The sequence below is a fragment of the Homo sapiens genome, chromosome 2 (genome assembly GCF_000001405.40).
Source record: "Homo sapiens chromosome 2, GRCh38.p14 Primary Assembly".
NCBI lineage: Eukaryota > Metazoa > Chordata > Mammalia > Primates > Hominidae > Homo > Homo sapiens.
This window is the reverse complement of record NC_000002.12, coordinates 200,918,544-200,939,633: the sequence shown is the minus strand read 5'-3', so window position 1 is coordinate 200,939,633 and position 21,090 is coordinate 200,918,544. Positions and strand designations below refer to the sequence as shown.

General features: G+C 38.4%; 1 protein-coding gene across 10 annotated transcripts in view, besides 1 other annotated feature; it reads left to right on the top strand.

The window, feature by feature from the left end:
• The window catches only part of ORC2 (origin recognition complex subunit 2), a 54,684-nt gene that overhangs the window by 24,027 nt on the left and 9,567 nt on the right, over positions 1-21,090 (top strand). For 8 of the 10 annotated variants that reach the window (NR_033915.2, XR_002959301.2, NM_006190.5 and 5 more), the window contains 8 exons: positions 1,668-1,728; positions 3,742-3,935; positions 5,660-5,758; positions 8,186-8,295; positions 12,734-12,866; positions 13,702-13,798; positions 18,495-18,641; positions 19,241-19,412. Coding sequence is in view for 8 of the 10 variants with exons in the window: in NM_006190.5 (NP_006181.1) it covers positions 1,668-1,728; positions 3,742-3,935; positions 5,660-5,758; positions 8,186-8,295; positions 12,734-12,866; positions 13,702-13,798; positions 18,495-18,641; positions 19,241-19,412 (1,013 nt within the window). In the remaining 2 variants the exon portion in view is untranslated. Of the gene's footprint in view, positions 1-1,667; positions 1,729-3,741; positions 3,936-5,659; positions 5,759-8,185; positions 8,296-12,733; positions 12,867-13,701; positions 13,799-18,494; positions 18,642-19,240; positions 19,413-21,090 lie in introns of those variants that run through there. The other 2 variants (XM_047444572.1, XM_047444570.1) reach the window with 1 other exon arrangement.
• Positions 4,025-4,526: an enhancer, noted in NCBI's record as "OCT4 hESC enhancer chr2:201799831-201800332 (GRCh37/hg19 assembly coordinates)". NCBI's record gives its function as "activates a minimal SCP1, AML or CMV promoter by ChIP-STARR-seq in naive H9 embryonic stem cells {active_cell/tissue: H9 hESC(naive)}" and the evidence as "EXISTENCE:reporter gene assay evidence [ECO:0000049][PMID:30033119]".

The following is a 21,090-nucleotide window of genomic DNA, read 5'->3' as shown; positions in this document are numbered from 1 at the left end:
GTTTTTCAAAATGGTAAACTGATTGGGATTGGGCAAAGTTAGGGACATGATATTTTAGGATTGGTAGACACAGTGAAGATCGTGTCTTAAAGTGTATCTTGATAACTAAACTGTTGATAAGATAAGCTGTTTGCCCTAGGAGTAATCTGTTGTCCTGATAGGGAGAACAGTTTGCCCAAATGAGCAAACTGTCAAGAGAGATTAGTTTGCAGAAATGTTCTATAGCAAGTAGGAAAAAATTATTTATTAGTCTTGTCTTTTTGAGCAGGAATTTTCTGCAGTGGTTATTTTGACACAGGTGTTGTGAATTCTCAGACTTAAGCTGTGTAGATATATATAAGTTATCTCAATACTCAATCTTGAAATCAGTTTAATAGGACATAAACTGCATTTTTAACAAATGAAGTAGAACAGAATTTTAAATTTCTGTTTTATAATTTTTTTTAGTTATATATACACGTGTACTGGGTCAAGATGACAAAATGTAAAAATTTTTGAGGATCTTGATCAAAAAATTTGAGACATACTGTAATTCCATTGGTAAGGGATTAGCTCAGTTATTAGAGTACTATTCTTTTTTTTTTTTTTTCCCCCTGAGGAAGAGTTTCATTGTGTTGTCCAGGCTGGAGTCCAATAACGTGATCTCGGCTCACCGCAACCTCCACCTCCCAGGTTCAAGCAGTTGTCCTGCCTCAACCTCTCGAGTAGCTGGGATTACAGGCATGCACCAGCACGCCCGGCTAATTTTGTATTTTTAGTAGAGACGGGATTTCTCCATGTTGGTCAGGCTGGTCTCAAACTCCCGACCTCAGGTGATCTGCCCGCCTTGGCCTCCCAAAATGCTGGGATTACACAGGCATGAGCCACTGTGCCCGGCCTAGAGTACTATTCTTAAAATCAAATCAGATTTTAATGACACCAGCAATCTATCACAAGACAATAAACTTAAATTTTTTTGTCATATTGTCATGTTGACAAAATCACAGGGTACTTTAACTTTTTTATCAGTACTATTAGAAATTTACAGGTATATAACAGTGGATGTTTTAATGTGCTAACAATTTATGGTATTAAAGTATTCTATAAAAAAACAGACTTTGTACTCCTACAAAAAGTTACAATTTTTTAAATACAGAAAGTAAGAAAGTGTAAATCTCTCCTTCTCTCCTCAAAGAATGTAATACTTTAACACCAGTAAATTTCTAGCACATTAAAAGGCCCATTGCCATATACATAGGGGTGCCCGTTCCCTTTCATACTTATGATTGCTACATAATACTATCTTTTAAAAAAATACTCCATTGGGCCGGGCGCTGTGGCTCACACCCATAATCCCAGTACTTTGGGAGGTTAAGGTGGGCGGTTCACTTGAGGTCAGGAGTTTTGAGACCAGCCTGGCCAACATGGTGAGACCCTGTCTCTGCTAAAAATACAAAAATTAGCTGGGTGTGGTGGCACGTGCCTATAATCACAGCTACTTGGGAGTCTGAGGCAGGAGAATGGTTTGAACCCATTTGTCATAATCTTCTAGTTCTAGGAACTAAGCTCATCTAGTTCTAATGCAGTCTATTGAAAGCAAAATATTTTTCTTTTTTTCTAGCCTCTTTCACTCAGATCAGTCATTAATTTCCATGTTATTATTTAATGCTTTTTCTATTTCTAAACAGAACAATGACAAAAGTGAATTTCTGTCAACAGCACCTCGTAGTCTAAGAAAAAGATTAATAGGTACGTATTTGTTTTTACATGACTTTTTATAAAAAGTAGCATCTAAACAAGAGGCAATAATAGTTAAGTATATAGGTTCTAGACTTAGACTGCTTGGTGTTTTGAATCTTTGGCTTTTAGTTGCAACACTTAGCACCATGTCTTTCACATTGTAGTCAGTGTATATTGAAGTCAGCTAAAAGGTCTTTCCAATGAAATAACATGCCTTTTAATTGTTTTGAGACAGTTTGGAAATTATTCTATTGATTTATTTGGAAATTTTATAATGAAATAATATTAAATATTCATAGTTGTACTGAATGCTAAACAAAGTCAAGTAAACAGACATGGCTTCTGCCTTCTAGGAAATTAAAAATCGTTTCAGATTTTTGAATATTGAACTTTGAGGCAAATGACTGGACCTTTATATATCAGGAAGATGTCAACACCTTTCATAATGTTGACCCTTGACAATAATAGTATTAGTCAACATTGTTAAATTCAGCCTAACATCAGGGCTTCATACTTCATAGCCCTTTCTTTTCAAGGTATGGATTTCATAGAGTTGTTAAAACTGTATTTTTAATCACCATAAAATTGGTAATGCTAAATGATTTGGTATATTAAAGCAGTAAAAGATCTGTATAGTTGTGATTGTTATTTCATGTCAACTATATCCCATGTCTTATGTTTTCTCCTCATCCCAAATATGGGTTGTTTTTTAGAGAGAAGGTGAACTTCCCTCTTCCTTCTTAATCACCACAAAACATATATACCTACATGGAGGAAGCATACATGTAAAGAAGGTAGAGATACTTTCTGGTACCTGCCACCACTTCTAACTGTGCATGTACCACGAGCAGCAGTCAATGCACACCTGAATCTGCTGAGCTATATATGCCCACAAAATCAAGCCTTTTTTTTTCTTTTTTTTTTTAATATCTACATTTGTTACATGCTGACTTGGGATAATCCTCTGCAGTATATCTGTTGTTCAGAATAAATATGCTGATTTGTTTAAGTTTTTTCACTCATATTTTGGAAGTTAGCTTTTAAAAACAGTTTTATGCCTGTTTAGTGTGAAACTGGCTTTATTCTTATTTGATAAATGTAAAACTAGCTATATTATTTCTGGGGAGTTGTAGGGATGAGGTTGTGGTTTGTTTAAAAAGACAATTCTTGAATCAACTCTGGGATGGTGTATGTGTATGTATTAGTAATAATTATAATCATAAGTACCATTTATTGAGTGCTATATTAGTTAGTATGACGTTTTCAGTAGGCAGCAACAGAAAATTCTATAATGGTAGTTTAAGCCATAGACATTTAAGTATCTCACATCAAAACAAGTATGGAGATGCAAGTTCCATGGTTGATGTGACTTAACAGTATCATTAAGGACCCAGATTCTTCCTATCTTTTACTCTGCCACCAGCATTTTTCATCTTTAGGTTTGATACTTCATATTGCAAAATGGCTTTCATAGCTTTAAACGATGGGTATAAATAGGGGCTTTTCTTCCGTAATTGAGGAAAATCCTTCTCAGAAGCTGCCAGCTATTTTCCCTCAATTCACTGGTCAAGGGGTCACATAGTCAACCATAGTTGGAGCAGAGGCTGGGAAAGCAGGTACCTTGAAGAGGAAAAAGGCAGTTACCATGATTCATCCCCTAGGATGGGGCATATTGCCATATTTTGCAAAATTGGAGTTCTGTTAGCAAGGAAGAGGGAAGGAGAACGGTGTTAGGTATGATTAACAATTTCTATCACAGTTCCTGTGTGTCAGGAATTATTAGTGGCTTTATATACATTTCAATGTAATCTTCCTAATGGTTTATTAAACTATGTACTATTAATTTGATAAATAAACTGGTGCTGAGAGAATTTGTTAATTAGCTCTGGTGAAATCATGAGCAGGTAATGACAAAACCAGAATTCAGACTCTTACTACAGAGCCCCCACTCTTTGCTTTACCCCACAATGCCTCTCTTGTCAAACCATGAAATTGTCCAAATTGCTATTTTTCCCCCCACAGTTCCAAGGTCTCATTCTGACAGTGAAAGCGAATATTCTGCTTCCAACTCAGAGGATGATGAAGGGGTTGCACAGGAACATGAAGAGGACACTAATGCAGTCATATTCAGCCAAAAGATTCAAGCTCAGAATAGAGTAGTTTCAGCTCCTGTTGGCAAAGAAACACCTTCTAAGAGAATGAAAAGAGATAAAACAGTAAGTGAAGAGAGAGACTTTAACCTTAAAGAAAAATTGTGTAATATTTCAAAGATAGGCTACCCTAAGAGATCCACATCTCTCAAAATAATATTTTTTCTTCACTTTTCTATATTTTCTCAGCCTTCCACATAAATTCCCACATATATTTGTTTCTACTTCTGGGCTTTCTTTTCTGGCCTGTCTACATATTCATGAATTAATACCATAGTATATGCTAAATAGTATATGCTAAAAGTGACATCTCAATTCCACTGTATAAAAATGAACTTTTTAGGCTGGGCACAGTGGCTCATGCCTGTAATCCCAGCACTTTGGGAGGCCAAGGCGGGTGGATCACCTGAGGTCAGGAGTTCGAGACCAGCCTGGCCAACATGGTGAAACCCTGTCTCTACTAAAAACACAAAAATTAGCCAGGTGTGGTGATGTGTGCCTGTAATCCCAGCTACGCGGGAGGCTGAAGCAGGAGAATTGCTGGAACCCAGGAGGCAGAGGCTGTAGTGAGCCGAGATCATGCCATTGTACTAGCCTGGGCAATAAGAACGAAACTCCGTCTCAAAAATAAATAAATAAATTTTTAAATAAGCTATGGGATTAGAATAAAAAATAACAAAAATAAAAAATGAACTTTTAAGTAAATATTGATTGGACAATTGGAGGCATGAGTTCTCAGTGTATCTTGTTTTTGTACCATTGTCAATGTATTCAAGTCAGTGTAATGAATGATGTGGCTAGGGACCCATGTTGAGTCATTTGGAAGAACATTGCAGGCACCTTGGTTTTAGAAAAGGCTAATTATCCTGGTGCTCTGTCTAAAGGTTCAGAGCAATTGAGGAGCCTACTGCTTAAATAGCTTTCTGTCCCTTCCTTACCACCCTAGAGTTTAGTCCTGCCCAAAATCAGAAGAACAAATAGTGTGAGAAGAAAATTCCGCTTGACTGGAATAGTAGGCCAGTTTTTTTATTTGTTTGTGGGTTTCTTTTTTTTCTTTTGTTACCTTGCAGTTGATTTCCTCATTTTCACAGTACTTCAGCTATACTAATATTAAAGGATTTGCTAAGACTATTTGAAGCCAGGCATGGTGGCTCATGCCTGTTATCCCAACACTTTGGGAGGGCAAGGTGGGAGGATTGCTTGAGGCCAGGAGTTTGAAACCAGCCTGGATAACATAATAAGACCCTGTCTCTGCAAAAAAAAAAAAAAAACAATTTAAAAAATTAGTCAGGTGTAGTGGTGCATGCCTGTAGTCCCAGCTACTTGGAAGGCTGAGGTAGGAGGATCCCTTGTGCCCAGGAGGTTGGGGGTACAGTGAGCTGTATTTGCACCACTACACTGCAGCCTGGGTGACAGAGTGAGACCCTTCCTCAATAAAGAAAGGAAAAAAAAAAGACTTACTTGAGGAGAAACAAAGATCTTGATATATAAAACCATCTCTCTTTTTTTAGTCTAAATGGAAATTACATATTGTAACTTAGGAATCATTTTTAGGAACAGACTACTACTTCACCTAGTCATTTCTTTAACTTATATGATCCTAGTAATTACTCAGTTTTATTACTGAAATTAAATATGCTTGGTCCTTAACTGGTACTGTTGCTTTAAAAAGAAAATACTACCAAGTAAAGAATTTCACGTGTCCTATTTTACATTAATATTACTGTCTAATTTTGATATGAGACAGATATTTGAAGCTACTAAGGACTGACTACTCTGTTCACTTTCAGAGTGACTTAGTAGAAGAATATTTTGAAGCTCACAGCAGTTCAAAAGTTTTAACCTCTGATAGAACACTGCAGAAGCTAAAGAGAGCTAAACTGGATCAGGTATGTTACAAGGAATGTTACTTCTAAATTTTTTTTACTCTGTCCTGAAAAATATGCTACGTAAGCAACAGATTTGAAAAGTATACACAAGTAGAATTATTGTCCTGATCAAATGAAACACAAGTTAATGTGATTATTACTTCTTTTATTATATAAATAGTAAATAGGCCGGGCACACCTGGCTCATACCTGTAATCTCAGCACCTTGGGAGGCCAAGGGAGGAGGATTATGTGAACACAGGAGTTTGAGACCAGCCTGGGCAATATAGGGAGACCTCGTTGTTACTAAAAATTTAAATAAATAAATAAATAATTTACTGGATTAGACAGACTGTAATTATGCATTTTTCCCCTCTTACTCGTTTATTATTTCTTCAGGATCTATGATAATCATCAGGGTCATAGTTCCTTGATATCCATTTACCATTTATCTCTGTTATTCATTTAACCTATATGTATTCACTAAATCTCACACTGGTCATAAAACAGCAACTGCAACCTGACTTTCTCTCAGTTAAAAACTTTGCACAAAGTAGAGGATATTCTGCTTGAGGATATTATGGAAAACCTGCCCAGTGTGGTAAGGTAACAAGATTACTATGTACCATGGTTCCAGTAGCTCATTTTACAAAAAAAAAAAAAAAAAAAATACCATACAGTTATACTTGCTGGGGTTTTACATCTCTGTGAGAGGAGACAGAACCATCTGAGTGAGAAAATCTTTGTCAGTAATAATTGCAATTGATAATCTAAGTCCTGGCTCATTGGTATTGAGACTCGGATCAGAGAATATAAGCAATATGGGAGAAGGACACATGAGTCTAGACTCACAATAGGACTTCATCAGACTTAGAGGCAAAAAGATCTCTAGGAGGATGAAAGAAACACCTGTCAGTGAGGGAGACGAAAGCCTTTCATTGGGCGTAAACATAGCATAGCTAACCAATACAATCTTCAGTAGCATGTGACAATAAGCATTTTTCATGTCTGCAAGTCAGTCAGAAGTTGGCTGATCTAGGATTTGCTCCATGTTTCTTTTCCTCGTTGGACCAGCAGGCTAGCTGAGGCATGTTATCCTCATGACAGTGGCAGAGGCATAAGAGGAAAAGTGGGAAAACACACAATCTCTTACAGCCCAGGCTCAAAACTAGATTGCCAGTTCTGCTTCATTCTAGTACAGCTGGATATTGGGGTCGAAAGTGCAGTTTTCCATGAATATTAATTAAAGTTTGAAATGAGGCTGGGCATGGAGGCTCACACCTGTAATACCAGCACTTTGGGAGGCCAAGGCGGGAGGATCACGAGGTCAGGAGTTTGAGAGCGGCCTGCCCAACATGGTGAAACCCCATCTCTACTAAAACTACAAAAATTAGCCAGGCGTGGTGGCACGCGCCTGTACTCCCAGCTACTCAGGAGGCTGAGGCAGGAGAATCGCTTGAACCTGGGAGGTGGAGTTTGCAGTGAGCTGAGATTGTGCCACCACACTCCAGGCTGGGTGACAGAGCAAGACTCTGTCTCAAAAAAAAAAAAAAAAAAAAAAAGTTTGAAATGAAAGTACATACATGAGATAACATTCTAGTGTTCACACTCAAGTGTGAATATGCTCAGATAATCTAGTGTAAATGACTGCTGGAAAAGATATTAGTGCTTTCTCTGCTTTTTCAGGGCTCTGAACTCAGAAGAGATAAGAGTTGTTTTTTTTTAACTACCTACTTAACAATTTTACTTAAAGGTAGTTCTGTTTGCTTTAACTGTGACTAAATAAACACAGTACAAGCCAGAGTACCTGGAATATTTATCGCAACTCTAATCTTCAGTATTTAAATAATATTTTACTTGAAAGGTGGTGGAATCATGAAAACATGGTAGTGCCAAAGTGAAGACCCATGTGTAGCTTTTTGCTAGAGTTTTCATTTCAAAAAATGATCTCTGATTCATCAGCATGAATTTCCAAGTTTGGGGTACAGGGCAATGCACTTTCCTCAGTTTATTTATATTATTGTTTTTAAAAATTTGCAATACTTACCAAAGATAAAGGATTTGTTAGAAACAGCTTTTGGAAGAGGAGCAGTGATATAGGTTTATTTTACTAATGATAATAGTAAGTAAATTATAAAGAACCTTTAATGTTTTCTGAGAAAGTAAAGCCTATTCTTGGAGTTTATAATCATTTAAGTGGTTCTGGACAAAACTTACCAAATTCTTTACTGTTATTACTAAAAAGAATGTTAACAATTTTAAGAAAACAAAAAAATTATTTTTTAAGAATTTTGTTTATCGGTTGATATACTCATTGCCAAACCAGATTAAAGTAATATTCCAATTGGATTGGCTTCTTCTAAGCTCTACTTCTAAGGAAATTGTTTGGATTGATTTGCTGTCTGTGCTTTGAGAATGACTTTTTTCCCCTCCTCCTTTTTTTTAAAGCAAACTTTGCGTAACTTATTGAGCAAGGTTTCCCCTTCCTTTTCTGCCGAACTTAAACAACTAAATCAACAGTATGAAAAATTATTTCATAAATGGATGCTGCAATTACAGTAAGTATTATCATTACAAACCCTTGTAAAATAAAGAATAATATTTACATGAATCTTTATGTTAAAGTAAGTTAACATTTTTCTTTTTACAGTGAGTTTCAGATATTTAGTCATATATAAAAATAAATGTAAAAATAGACATTATGACTCAGATATAGAAATGTCACTTTATTGTATGACTCTTCCCAGAAATTCTACAGTTTTTAAGAAATTTGTGTTTATCAGACTTGACAGCCATTGATAAGATAAATAGCATTTCTTAGAATTATGTTATTGGTTTAAAAAACTTGAATATTTCCTTTGTCAAGATTAATAAATATAACAATTAGAAAAAAAAATTATAAAGTTTTCCACAGCATAGTTCTTTAAATGAAAGGATAATATTTACTTTAATCTTATGTATGTGTACTACAGACTTTCAGAATTTTATGAACAGATTTGTTCTATAAGCATTATTTTACTATTTTAACATTATTTCCTAGAATATTTTTTCACTGTTATTATTTTCACACACCTCAGATTAAATTTTAAATTTCCATTAAAACACCTAGAAGAATGATTGAAATCAAAACATAATACTTTCTTTTTATGATAATTACTTTTATCCTTGCAGTTAAAAAGACTTGAACATAAGGAAGTGCTTAAAATGTACACTAATGTGAATATACATGCACACTCACAGTTACATTGTCACTGAGGTAAATAAGAAGGTAGAGCCATGGACCAGGCACTTGGCCTCCCATAATCCCAGTGCTTTGGGAGGCCAAGGCAGGAGGATTGCTTGAGCCCAGGGGTTTGAGAGACTCTGTCTTAAAAAAAAAAAAAAAAAAAAGTTATGCTAGGAAGGGAATGATTAACTTGCCTGCAAGAACCTCAGCTTCTCTCAATAACTATTTATGGATCTATGCATTATAAATTTGTAAGCTCTTCATTCTAATCCCATCCCCAGCCCATCATTTTTTTCTCCCAGCGTGTCAACTTAGATAACTTAATTTGCTTTGCTTCTCAGATTAGACCTTATAGTCAGCAAGTTTGTTGGAATTGCTAGCTCTCTGAATTCCTTGCCTCTTTATTTCTGCTGCTTTGACCTTGGTAATCTCTACCTTTGGAGGTTACCTCTTTTCTGTTCTTCCATTTCTAGGTTATCCTGCATTGCCAGAGAGCATCACATAAATACTGTTTCTGCTTGACCTTTGTAAACAATCACGGAGTTGGACTTTAGCTTGACCTCTAGTGCTTGGTGTTCTGGGTGGTCTCATTCACCCTTCTGGCTTCAGTTGTTTTCTGTATATGAATGACTCATGTAACTGTTAACCTCCAACCCATACCTCACTCTCAGTAGCAGACCTGGATATCTGAATGTATATTAGAAGTTTATACTTGGGTGTCCTGTAAATAATTCAACATACATAAAATTAAACTCATCTGAAATCCACTGTTCCCACCTGCCCCTGCTATCCAGCAGAGTGAATGACTGAATGTTAGTCACTCCATTTGTGTAGTTGCCTATGGCAGAAAACTGAGTCATTCTTTTTTTTTTTTCTTTTCTTTTTAAGAGACAGTCTCACTCTGTCACCCAGAATGGTGTGAATACAGCTCAAGGAGCCCCAACCTCCTGGGTTCAAGCAATCCTCCCACCTCAGCTTCCCAAATAGCTGGGTCCATAGATGTGTGCCACCATGCCTGGGCTAATTTTTTTTATTTTTTATTGTGTAGAGATGAGGTCTCACCATCTTGCCTAGGCTGGTCTCAAACCCCTGGGCACAAGCAATTCTCTGCCTTGGCTTCCAAAACTGCTGGGATTACAGGTGTGAGCCACAGCGCCCAGCCCTGAGTCATTCTTAAGTATTCTTTTCCTCACTCTCCACATCTAATCAGTCTCCAACTCTTACTGGTTTGACTTTCTATAAAGTTCTTGACATTTTAACATTTTTCTCCATGACAGCTAAGTTAATCTTCCACAGTTTTGTTCCTTCCTGTCCATTCCCCAAATATAATCAATGTGATCTTTCTGAAAAGAACATGTTACTTTCCTACTTAAAACCTTTCTGTTAACCCCTCATTAGTTACTTTTAAATGCTCATTCTTGGCTGGGCACGGTGGCTCACGTCTGTAATTCCAGCACTTTGGGAGGCCAAGGTGGGTGGATCACCTGAGGTCAGGAGTTCCAGACCAGCCTGACCAACATAGTGAAATCCTGTCTCTACTAAAAATACAAAGTTAGCCGGGCTTAGTGGTGCATGCCTGTAATCCCAGCTACTTGGGAGGGTGAGGCAGGAGAATTGCTTGAACGCGGGAGGCAGTGAGCCAAAATCGCACCACTGCACTCCAGCCTGGGTGACAGAGCAGGACTCCATCTCAAAATAAATAAATAAATGCTCATTCTCCTTGGAATGAGTGAATTAATGGTTTAGTATGACTTAACAAGGCCTTTGTTACTTGACCTCTTTTCAATTTGTATCAGTTTCAACTCTGCTTCAGCCTATAAAAGTTTTTAGGACTTTTTTTTTGTTGTTTTTTTTTTTGAGACAGAGTCTTGCTCTGTTGCCCAGGCTGAAGTGCAGTGGTGCAATCTCGGCTCACTGCAAGCTCTGCCTCCCGTGTTCACGCCATTCTCCTGCCTCAGCCTCCTGAGTAGCTGGGACTACAGGTGCCTGCCACCACGCCCAGCTAATTTTTTTGTATTTTTAGTAGAGACAGGATTTCACCGTGTTAGCCAAGATGGTCTCGATCTCCTGACCTCGTGATCCGCCCGCCTCGGCCTCCCAAAGTGCTGGGATTACAGGCGTGAGCCACTGCGCCTGGCCTTTTTAGGGCTTTTATTGGCAATGGTCTCCCTTGCCTCCAGTCATCTGTCATCTGAAAAGTAATAGAAGCTACAGTGAAGCTACTGAACAAATTAGAACTAGAAGCTTGGTATACAGATAATAAAATTGTGCCTTTACCTTGTATGGGTTTGGAATAAATATTTATTTATTTATTTAAGATGGAATCTTACTCTGTTGCCCAGGCTGGAATGTAGTGATGTGATCTCAGCTCTCTGCAACCTCCACCTCCCAGGTTCAAGCAATTCTCCTGCCTCAGCCTCCCAAGTAGCTGGGATTACAGGCACCTGCCACCATGCCCAGCCAATTTTTGTATTTTTAGTAGAGACAGGATTTCACCATGTTGGCCAGGCTGGTCTCGAATTCCTGGCCTCATGTGATCCACCTGCCTCGACCTCCCAAAGTGCTGGGATTACAGGCGTGAGCCATCATGCCCGGCCAATAATAATTTTTAAAAAGAATACTTTTTTTTTTTAGGAAGGAAGAGGAAGAACTGGGATGGCTGAATCACTAAACATTGATTCCTGGCCTTGCACGGTGGCTCATGCCTGTAATCCCAGCACTTTGAGAGGCTAAGGCAGGCACATCACCTGAGGTCAAGAGTTCAAGACCAACATGGTGAAACCCCGTCTCTACTAAAAATATAAAAATTAGCTGGGCATGGTGGCGGGCGCCTGTAATCCAGCTGCTCAGGAGGCTGAGGCAGGAGAATCGCTTGAACCCGGGAGGCGGAGGTTGCAGTGAGCTATGATGGTGCCACTACACTCCAGCCTGGGCGACAGAGCGAAAAAAAAAATTATTATTAATTAGTTAATTTTTTTTTACAGACACTGTCTTGCTCTGTTGCCCTGGTTGGAGTGCAGTGGCGGGATCTCGGCTCACTGCAAGCTCCGCCTTCCGTGTTCACGCCATTCTCCTGCCTCAGCCTCCCAAGTAGCTGGGACTACAGGCACCCGCCACTGCACCCAGCTAATTTTTTTTTTTTTTGTATTTTTAGTAGAGATGGGGTTTCACTGTGGTCTCGATCTCCTGACCTCGTGATCCGCCCACCTCGGCCTCCCAAAGTGCTGGGATTACAGGCGTGAGCCACCGCACCTGACCTAATTTTTTTTTTAAATAAAAATATTTTTGGCTAGACATGGTGGCTCACACCTGTAGTCCCAGCAATTTTGGGGGCCAAGGTGGGTGGATTACTTGAGCCCAGTTGTTCAAGACCAGCCTGGGCAACATGGCAAAAGCTCATCTCTAGTAAAAATATAAAAATTAGCCAGGTATGGTGGTGCACAGCTGTAGCCCCAGCTTCTTGGGAGACTGACGCTGAAGAGTTGCTTGAACCTGGGAGGCTGAGGTTGCAGTGAGCCAAGAGTGCCACTGGACTCCAGTCTGGGTGACAGAGTGACTCTGTCTCAAAAAAAAAAAGATACATATATATACATACATGAAAAACTTTTTTGCGTTTGCCTTCCCAAAATTCGGGGATTACAGGCTTGAGCCAGTGCGCCTACCCCTTTCCTGTATTTTTTATAAACTGAATTTAAGGAAACTGGTTGATAATAAAATTGGCAATAAGAGGTATTGAAGTTTAATTTCATGAATACTGTCTTTCCTAACAGCCTTGGGTTCAACATTGTGCTTTATGGTTTGGGTTCTAAGAGAGATTTACTAGAAAGGTTTCGAACCACTATGCTGCAAGATTCCATTCACGTTGTCATCAATGGCTTCTTTCCTGGAATCAGTGTGAAATCAGTAAGTTTCAAAAATGTTAAAGGGAAAAACATTATATCCTCTGCCAATTCAAGCCCCCACATAAATGAGGATGGAGTATTAAAGAATTTTTGTTTTAGCCTTCACGGTAGTAGGATTGTATAGTGCTTAATACCATGTGTTTGGACTCAAGAATCTAGCTTTGAAACCATCTTCGAATGTCCTACATTGTAACTGACATGTATTAAAACTTAGGAAAATGTTAGCTTTGTTTACTATACTGAGTATCAGTGGTACTTCTGAAGGAGGGAATTATGGGGTCTTCAGTTTTGTTATAAACTATGAAAATGCTTTATTAGGCAAAAACTACATGCTGTGAAAATGCTTTAAAATGCAACAGGATGTGATGTGAAGACTGTAGTTTAACAATACATTTATCATAGATCATTTTTATTTCAAATGCTTAATATCTCTTCATCATTTGAACATGAAATCTTTTGGGTGCTGGATATTGAGCCATATAGTATTCCTTTTTTAAAGTGTCTGTAGTGTTTGTGTCCTGTTTCCTTTGATAGAACTGTAGTTTTCTAATGTTTCTCATGTTCTTGGGAGCTTTTTCATTTGTTTTTGCTGCCCTCTTATATTACCTATTACCTGTACATCTTTGCTATTCTTTTCTGTTTTCTTTTAGCCACAACTTAGGCAAAAAACAATGAATTAGATATACTCAAGTACCAGTAGAATTTTTAAAAGTTATTTTTTAAACTTTTGGGAAATCCAAATTCATTTTTAATTTATAAAAAAAGGTTTGATTTTCTAGTTGTATATGACAATAAATTGTAATTAATGTGGTACCTCTTCCACATTCATGATATAGGTCCTGAATTCTATAACAGAAGAAGTCCTCGATCATATGGGTACTTTCCGCAGTATACTGGATCAGCTAGACTGGATAGTAAACAAATTTAAAGAAGGTAACATGAAGTAGATGCTCGGTAGTTTTAGAGTAAAGTTAAGCATATACTTCTACTTATTCATGTATTTATATACATACAATATTATTATTATTATTTTTGAGACAGTCTCTCTGTTGCCCAGCCTGGAGTGCAGTGGTGCGATCATGGCTCACTGCAGCCTTGACCTTCTGGGCTCAAGCAATTCTCCCACTTCAGCCTCCCAGGTAGCTCAGATCACAGGCGTGTGCCATTATGCCTGGCTAATTTTTTATTATTTGTAGAGATGAGGTCTCGCTATGTTGCCCAGGATAGTCTTGAACTTCTGGGCTCAAGCAGTCCTCCTGCCTTGGCCTCCCAAAGGGCTGAGATTATAGGTGTGAGCCACCACACCTGGCCCAAAAAGATTATTTTAATAATGGCATTTATCTTGGTGCTCTAAAAAAGTTTGTCCTTTTTCTATGAACTTTTTCCGTGAACTTAACAGGAAAGAAAAATGTTAGTCCCACTTTCTTAAGTTTGTATATCCAAAAGCCTGTTTCTGTTTATAAAACACTCCAAAAGTGCAGTGGCACGATTTTGGCTCACTGCAACCTCCGCCTCCCGGGTTCAAGCAATTCTCCTGCCTCAGCCTCTCAAGTAGCTGGGATTACAGGCGTGCACCACCAAGCCCAGCGAATTTATTTCAGAATAATTTTCAGGTTTTGTTTTGCTTGTGTAAAGTGCCTCCACTTGAGTGGTACAAGTTTGTCTGATATTTTTATATTGTTTAATGTTTTTATAAAACATTATTTCTTGGCTGGGCGCAGTGGCTGACGCCTGTAATCCCAGCACTTTGGGAGGCCGAGCTCAGTGGGTCACCTGAGGTCAGGAGTTCGAGACCAGCCTGGCCAATATGGTGAAACCCCATCTCTACAAAAATACAAAAAAATTAGCCAGGCGTGGTGGCACATGCCTGTAGTCCCAGCTACTTGGGAGGGTGAGGCAGGAGAATTGCTTGAGCCCGGGAGGCAGAGATTGCAGTGAGCCAAGATCATACCACTGCACTCCACCCTGGGTGATAGAGTGAGACTCTATCTAAAAATAAATAAATAAATAAAACATTATTTCTTTATTCTGTGTACATATCATTACATTGAGATAATTTTATATACTAAGATCTCTTGATTCTTTTGGTGTGAATGTTTTGGTTATGTGAGTATGTCAGAAAATTGGAAATAGTATTATATAGTCTCTAACAGTTAATTGCCATTTAGTAATGACTAAATTAAGAATTAAGAGAAGTAATTGAGAATGCCTAACTGCTTTGATGGATAATTTTTTTGATAATGACAATAATCTTAGCTCTGTTCCGTAGTACTTTTATCTTGTCAATATTCTAGCATGTTCTTTAGTTTTGTCTTCATTTTGTTTCCAACCTGAAAAGCTTTCTGTCCCAAATTTCCTTTCACACTCCTACACCCATTTTATCCACAGTTCTTTATAGAAATGGACCGTATACTTTTTTTTTTTAACACAGTCTTGCTCTCTCACCCAGGCTGGAGTCCAGTGGCACAAACACAGCTCACTACATCCTAAATCTCCTGGGCCCAAGTGATCCACCCAACTCAGCCTCCCCATTAGCTGGGACTACAGGCACATATCACCTGCCTGGCTATTGTTAAAATTTTTTGTAGAGATGGAGTCTCACTGTGTTGCCCAGGCTGGTCTCAAACTCCTAGGCCTCAAGGGATACTCCTGCCTGGGCCTTCCAAAGTGCTGGGATTACAGGCATGAGCCCAGCCAGACAATATACATTTTTATACCAACTCTACACATTTGAAAACAGGTAGAGTTGATTCTCATTATTCACAAATTCTATAATAGCAAATTTACCTGCTTGCTAACATTTATTTATAATCCCAAAATCAATATTCTTGGTACTTTTGCAAAGTGAAACATGGCACAGAGTGGCAAAAAGTTTGCATTGCCCAATGTACATATTCTAAGCCGAGGTCAAACAAGGCAATGCTTTGCCTTCTTGTTTCAACTCTCATACTATAAACAAGCATCGTTTTCACAGTCTGTTCAGTGCTACGTTTTTCACATTTTTCTGCTTTTTTGTTGGTGATTTGGCTGTTTAAAATGGCCCGCAAGCATAGTGTTAAAATGCTATCTAGTGTTCCCAAGCACAAGAAGGCTGTGATGTGCCTTGGGGAAAAAATACCTGTGTATATAAACTTCCTTCAGTTATGAGTTACAGTGTTCTTGACTGTGAGTTCCGTGTTAATAGACCAACAGTGTATATTAAAAATAAAGTTGCCCTTAAGCCGGATGCGGTGGCTCACACCTGCAATCCCTTCACTTTGGGAGGCCGAGGCAGGTGGATCACTTGAGGTTAGGAGTTTGAGACCAGCCTGGGCAACATGGTGAAACCCTGTCTCGACAAAAAATACAAAAAACTAGCCGGTCCTGGTGGTGCGCACCTGTAATCCCAGCTAGTCGGGAGGCTGAGACAGGAGAATCGCTTGAACCTGGGAGTTGGAGGTTGCAGTGAGCCAAGATCACATCACTGCACTCCAGCCTGGGCAACAGAGCGAGACTCCGTCTCCAAAAAGAGTAAATAAATAAAAATAAAATTGCCTTTAAACAGAAACACACATAAAACAAAGTTATATATTGAACCTAACCCTGTATTTCCTCTGGGAACAGTGGTTCAGTATTCAATAATTCAGGATTTGCAGCAGCATAGAACTTAATGTAATGAGAGTCAAGTATATATTTCCCAGAACCCTAAAACTACTGCATATGTGAACATATCTTATTCATTGATTATGTGGGCATATAGTGAATTACTAGCAGGTTATTGTAAGAGAAACAAATCTGTTTGGTTTGTTTTCAGTTCTTTCAACCTTATTATTTAATTAAAAATCAATTGCTGCAATATTTATTCCTATAATAATTTTGCCTTGTTTTTCTGAATTGTCTTTAGTTTTCAACATAAGTTCTCCTACTTAAAGAATAACAGAAGCATTGCTTTTTATTCCCTTACCACAGATCCTTGTAAGAGCCCAGTATTGTTCGTATGCTCATTAAAATAGATGCCTAAGTCACTTTATATTTGTGTGCGTCTGTGTGTATACATACGTTTGGTTTTGGGTGTTTTTGGTTTTGATACTGTTAAATATGATGACGTCTAGATTTCAGGGAACCTGGGATTTTCACAATGTGTCATCTCAGAATCTTTGTCACTGTATTGTCTCTCTTACCCATCTACCCCCGAGTAGAAGAGAAATTAACTCACTCTCTGAAAGACTTATACTCTATCACGTATGCCAAGTCTCCAGAGAGACTTATCAATACCTGTGGCTTTTAAATATACATTAAAAATAAAAGTTACCTGATTCTGCTGCCCTTTCACACTATTTTATTTTTCTGTTTCATACGGTTTCAGTATTTTGGAAGACATGTCCTGCCTTCAATTTTTTTTTTTTTTTTTTTTACCTATTTCATTCTAATGTCTTTCCTCTGTGCTATCAGAACTGTATGCTTGATCACCTGTAACTTTCTTCTTACCAAGCCCAGTGACCTTGGCTCATCCTTTATCTTGATCTCTGCTGTATTTGATAGTGTCAACAGCTCCATCCTCTAAATTCCTCCTTCACTGACTTTTATAATTTATCTGAACTTCCTGATGCCTTGAGCAGTATCCTAACCCCCACCCCCCACCCACTCCTTTTTTGGTCTCCTTTGGCTTTTGTGATAATCCGGGTTTTCTATATAATCTCTGAGAGCATTATATATAATGCTTTCTGAGAAATCCTTTGGTTTTTTTGGTATCCCTCCACTCCCACAGTGTAATAAAACATGCACAGATTCACCTCCAATCTATTGTATACATCTTGCCTATTTCCCATGCCTTATTAAAGCTGCTTTCTTTAGGCTGAGCACGGCGGCTCACACATGTAATCCCACCACTTTGGGAGGCCGAGGCGGGCAGATCACTTGAGCTCACGAGTTCTAGACCAGCCTGGGCAACATGGTGAAACCCCATCTCTACAAAAAATATAAAAATCAGCTAGGTGTGGTGGTACACGCCTATAGTCCCAGCTACTCGGGAGGCTGAAGTGGAAGGATGGCTTGAGCCCTGGATGTCAGGGTTGCAGTGAGCTGAGATCACCCCACTGCACTCTAGCCTGGACAACAGAGCCAGAACTTGTCTTAAAAAACAAAACAAAACAAAAAGCTGCTTTCTGTAGGGCCTGACTTCAGTGCTAATCATGTCTATTTTATGAGTAAATGACATATCTTCTCAAATAAATTACATACCCCTAAGCAATCATTATTTTATCCTATACTACTTTATTTTTTAATACCTAGGCATTGTGTATGGTAGAGGAAATAATCACTGAAATATCACTAAAAATAATAATTGCAGCTGGACATGGTGGTTCACGTCTGTGATCCTAGCACTTTGGGAGGCCAAGTTGAGTCCAGGAGTTCAAGACCAACCTGGGCAACTTAGTGAGACCCCGTCTCTACCAAAAAAACAATTAGCCAGGCATGGTGGTGTGCGCCTAGTTCCAGGTAATCGAGAGGCTGAGGTGGGAGGATTGCTTGAGTCCAGGAGTTGGAGGCTGCAGTGAGCTATGATTGTACCACTGCACTCTAGCCTAGGCAACAGAGTGAGACCCTCTAAAAATAATAATAATAATAATTGGATTTCTTTTCTTTTTAGATTCTTCTTTAGAACTCTTCCTTCTCATCCACAATTTGGATAGCCAGATGTTGAGAGGAGAGAAGAGCCAGCAAATCATTGGTCAGTTGTCATCTTTGCATAACATTTACCTTATAGCATCCATTGACCACCTCAATGCTCCTCTCAGTAAGTTAATTGTTACTATTTTTCCTTCTAGAGATATCAGTCTTACAAGACAAATTCTATTAATATAAATCAGAAAATTTTTACTGTTTTTAGTACGCTTTTTCCCCTTTTACATGTTTAAAAACACAGGTTGCCAAAAAGATGTTCTCAATCTAATTTAGAACATAATTTTTGGAAATAAAAATTCAGATACTAAATGAGGATGTTTTAGTCTAAAGTTAAATGGAGGGAAAAGACCCAACTATTATTTTGGTCTCTTTCTCTTCTTGTAATATCGCAACATTTATTTTATGAACTTAATTTATAGACTTTCTGATAATCCTGTAGAAGAAAATGTTAAAACATTACTAATTTTTTAAAAAGAATGCATTGGTAGTGCTAAGATTTTAATTTATGCTTAATTGAAAATAAAGGTTCAGATGTTGGTTGAAAATGAAATTAGATTGTGAGTTACTGATTTAGATATGGAAGTGGCAAAAATGAAAAACTTGGGGATTCATTTTTATTTAATCCTTTCTCATTCTTTTGTAAAGTGGAATCTAGTAACATGACAATATAAAAATAATTTGTAATTCTTGTTTTCTTTGATCATGTGCTAGTGTGGGATCATGCAAAGCAGAGTCTTTTTAACTGGCTCTGGTATGAAACTACTACATACAGTCCTTATACTGAAGAAACCTCCTATGAGAACTCTCTTCTGGTAAAGCAGTCTGGATCCCTGCCACTTAGCTCCCTTACTCATGTCTTACGAAGCCTTACCCCTAATGCAAGGTAAGGATGAAAACCATATTTCTTTTTTAAAAACTATACATTTTAAGATATGTACTACTAGGTTTTAATGGGGATACTGAAGTCCCTAGTTAGTTGAAGGATTAAGTGAAATTATAGTAATAATAGTTACCAGTACTGGATTATGGAGTAGGCAGACAAGTCAACAGTAGTCTATCAAATTGCCCAGTAATAAAGCGAGAATACCAACTTTTTATTTCTTTGATATTTCTGAATATGAGCACCTGACTGGTCATAATGGAGAAAAAGCAGACTTTTCATGACTTTTACTTAAATTTTATGGTTATTTTTCATTACATATTGAACATTCTGATCCAAACAGTGAGTACTTTATATGCATTACTTCATTTGATCCTAACTAAGGTGGATAGTCAGTGGCACAAAGACTTTGATCCAGATATGCCAGCTCCAAAACTCATGCTCTTAAACATCACTGTATAATGTCTCCAGTCAAGCCCTTACAGCAGCCTAACCTAGAGGCATATCTGAATTAATAAATGCAAGCTGGTTATAGCATAAGCCAGCAAAAAATAAATTGCATAATTAGCCGGACGCAGTGGCCTACACCTGTAATACCAGCACTTTGGGAGGCCAAGGCAGGTGGGTCACTTGAGGTCAGGAGTTCGAGACCAGCCTGGCCGACATGGGGAAACCCCATCTCTACCAAAAATACAAAAATTAGCCAGGTGTGGTGGCACGCACCTGTAGTCTCAGCTACTCAAGAGGCTGAGGCCGGAGAATTGCTTGAACCCAGGAGGCAGAGGTTGCAGTGAGCTGAGATTGCACCACTGCACTCCAGCCTGCGTGACAGAGCAATCTCTGTCTCAAAAAAATAATAAAGAAATTGCATAATTAGCCTGTTGAAAGAAGCTTTTAGTAACAAACTTTACCCCCTGACAAAAGCATAAAATTATAGAATTATATTTAACAAGATGAAGTGTTGAAAAATAACAAACCTTGCTGAGAATAGATAATTAAGAGCTGGATAGATGAAAAGAAATATTGTGTTCTTGGGTGGGTAGATTAAATATTATAAGAGTAGCAATTCTTTCCAAGTTAGAAATGTGTTAGACTTGCCAGGCACAGTGGCTCAAGCCTGTAATCCCAACACTATGCGAAGCTAAGGCAGGAGGATTGCTCCAGCTGGGACCTTGAGACCAGCCTGGGCAACATAGGGAGACTACATCTCTACAAAAAATTTTAAAAATTAATTGAGTGTGGTGGTGTACACCCATAGTCTCAGCTGAGGAGGCTGAAGGGAGCCGAGATTGCGCCACTGCACTCCAGCCTGGGTGATAGAGCAAGACCCTGTCTCCAGAAAAACAGGTATTAGATCTATAAATTAGTCAAAATGTAAATGAATTTTTTTGTTTTAAATTTGAAAGAAAATTTAGTTTCCTAAAGAATAAACAGTCAGCTGGGTGTGGTAGCTCACACCTGTAATCCCAGCACTTTGGGAGGCCGAAGCGGGTGGATCACTTGAAGTCAGGAGTTCGAGACTATCCTGGTCAACATGCTGAAACCCTGTCTCTACTAAAAACACAAAAATTAGCCGGACTTGGTGGCACACACCTGTAATCCCAGCTACTTGGGAGGCTGAAGTGGGAGAATCGCTTGAACCCAGGAGGCGGAGGTTGCAGTAAGCCAAGATCACGCCACT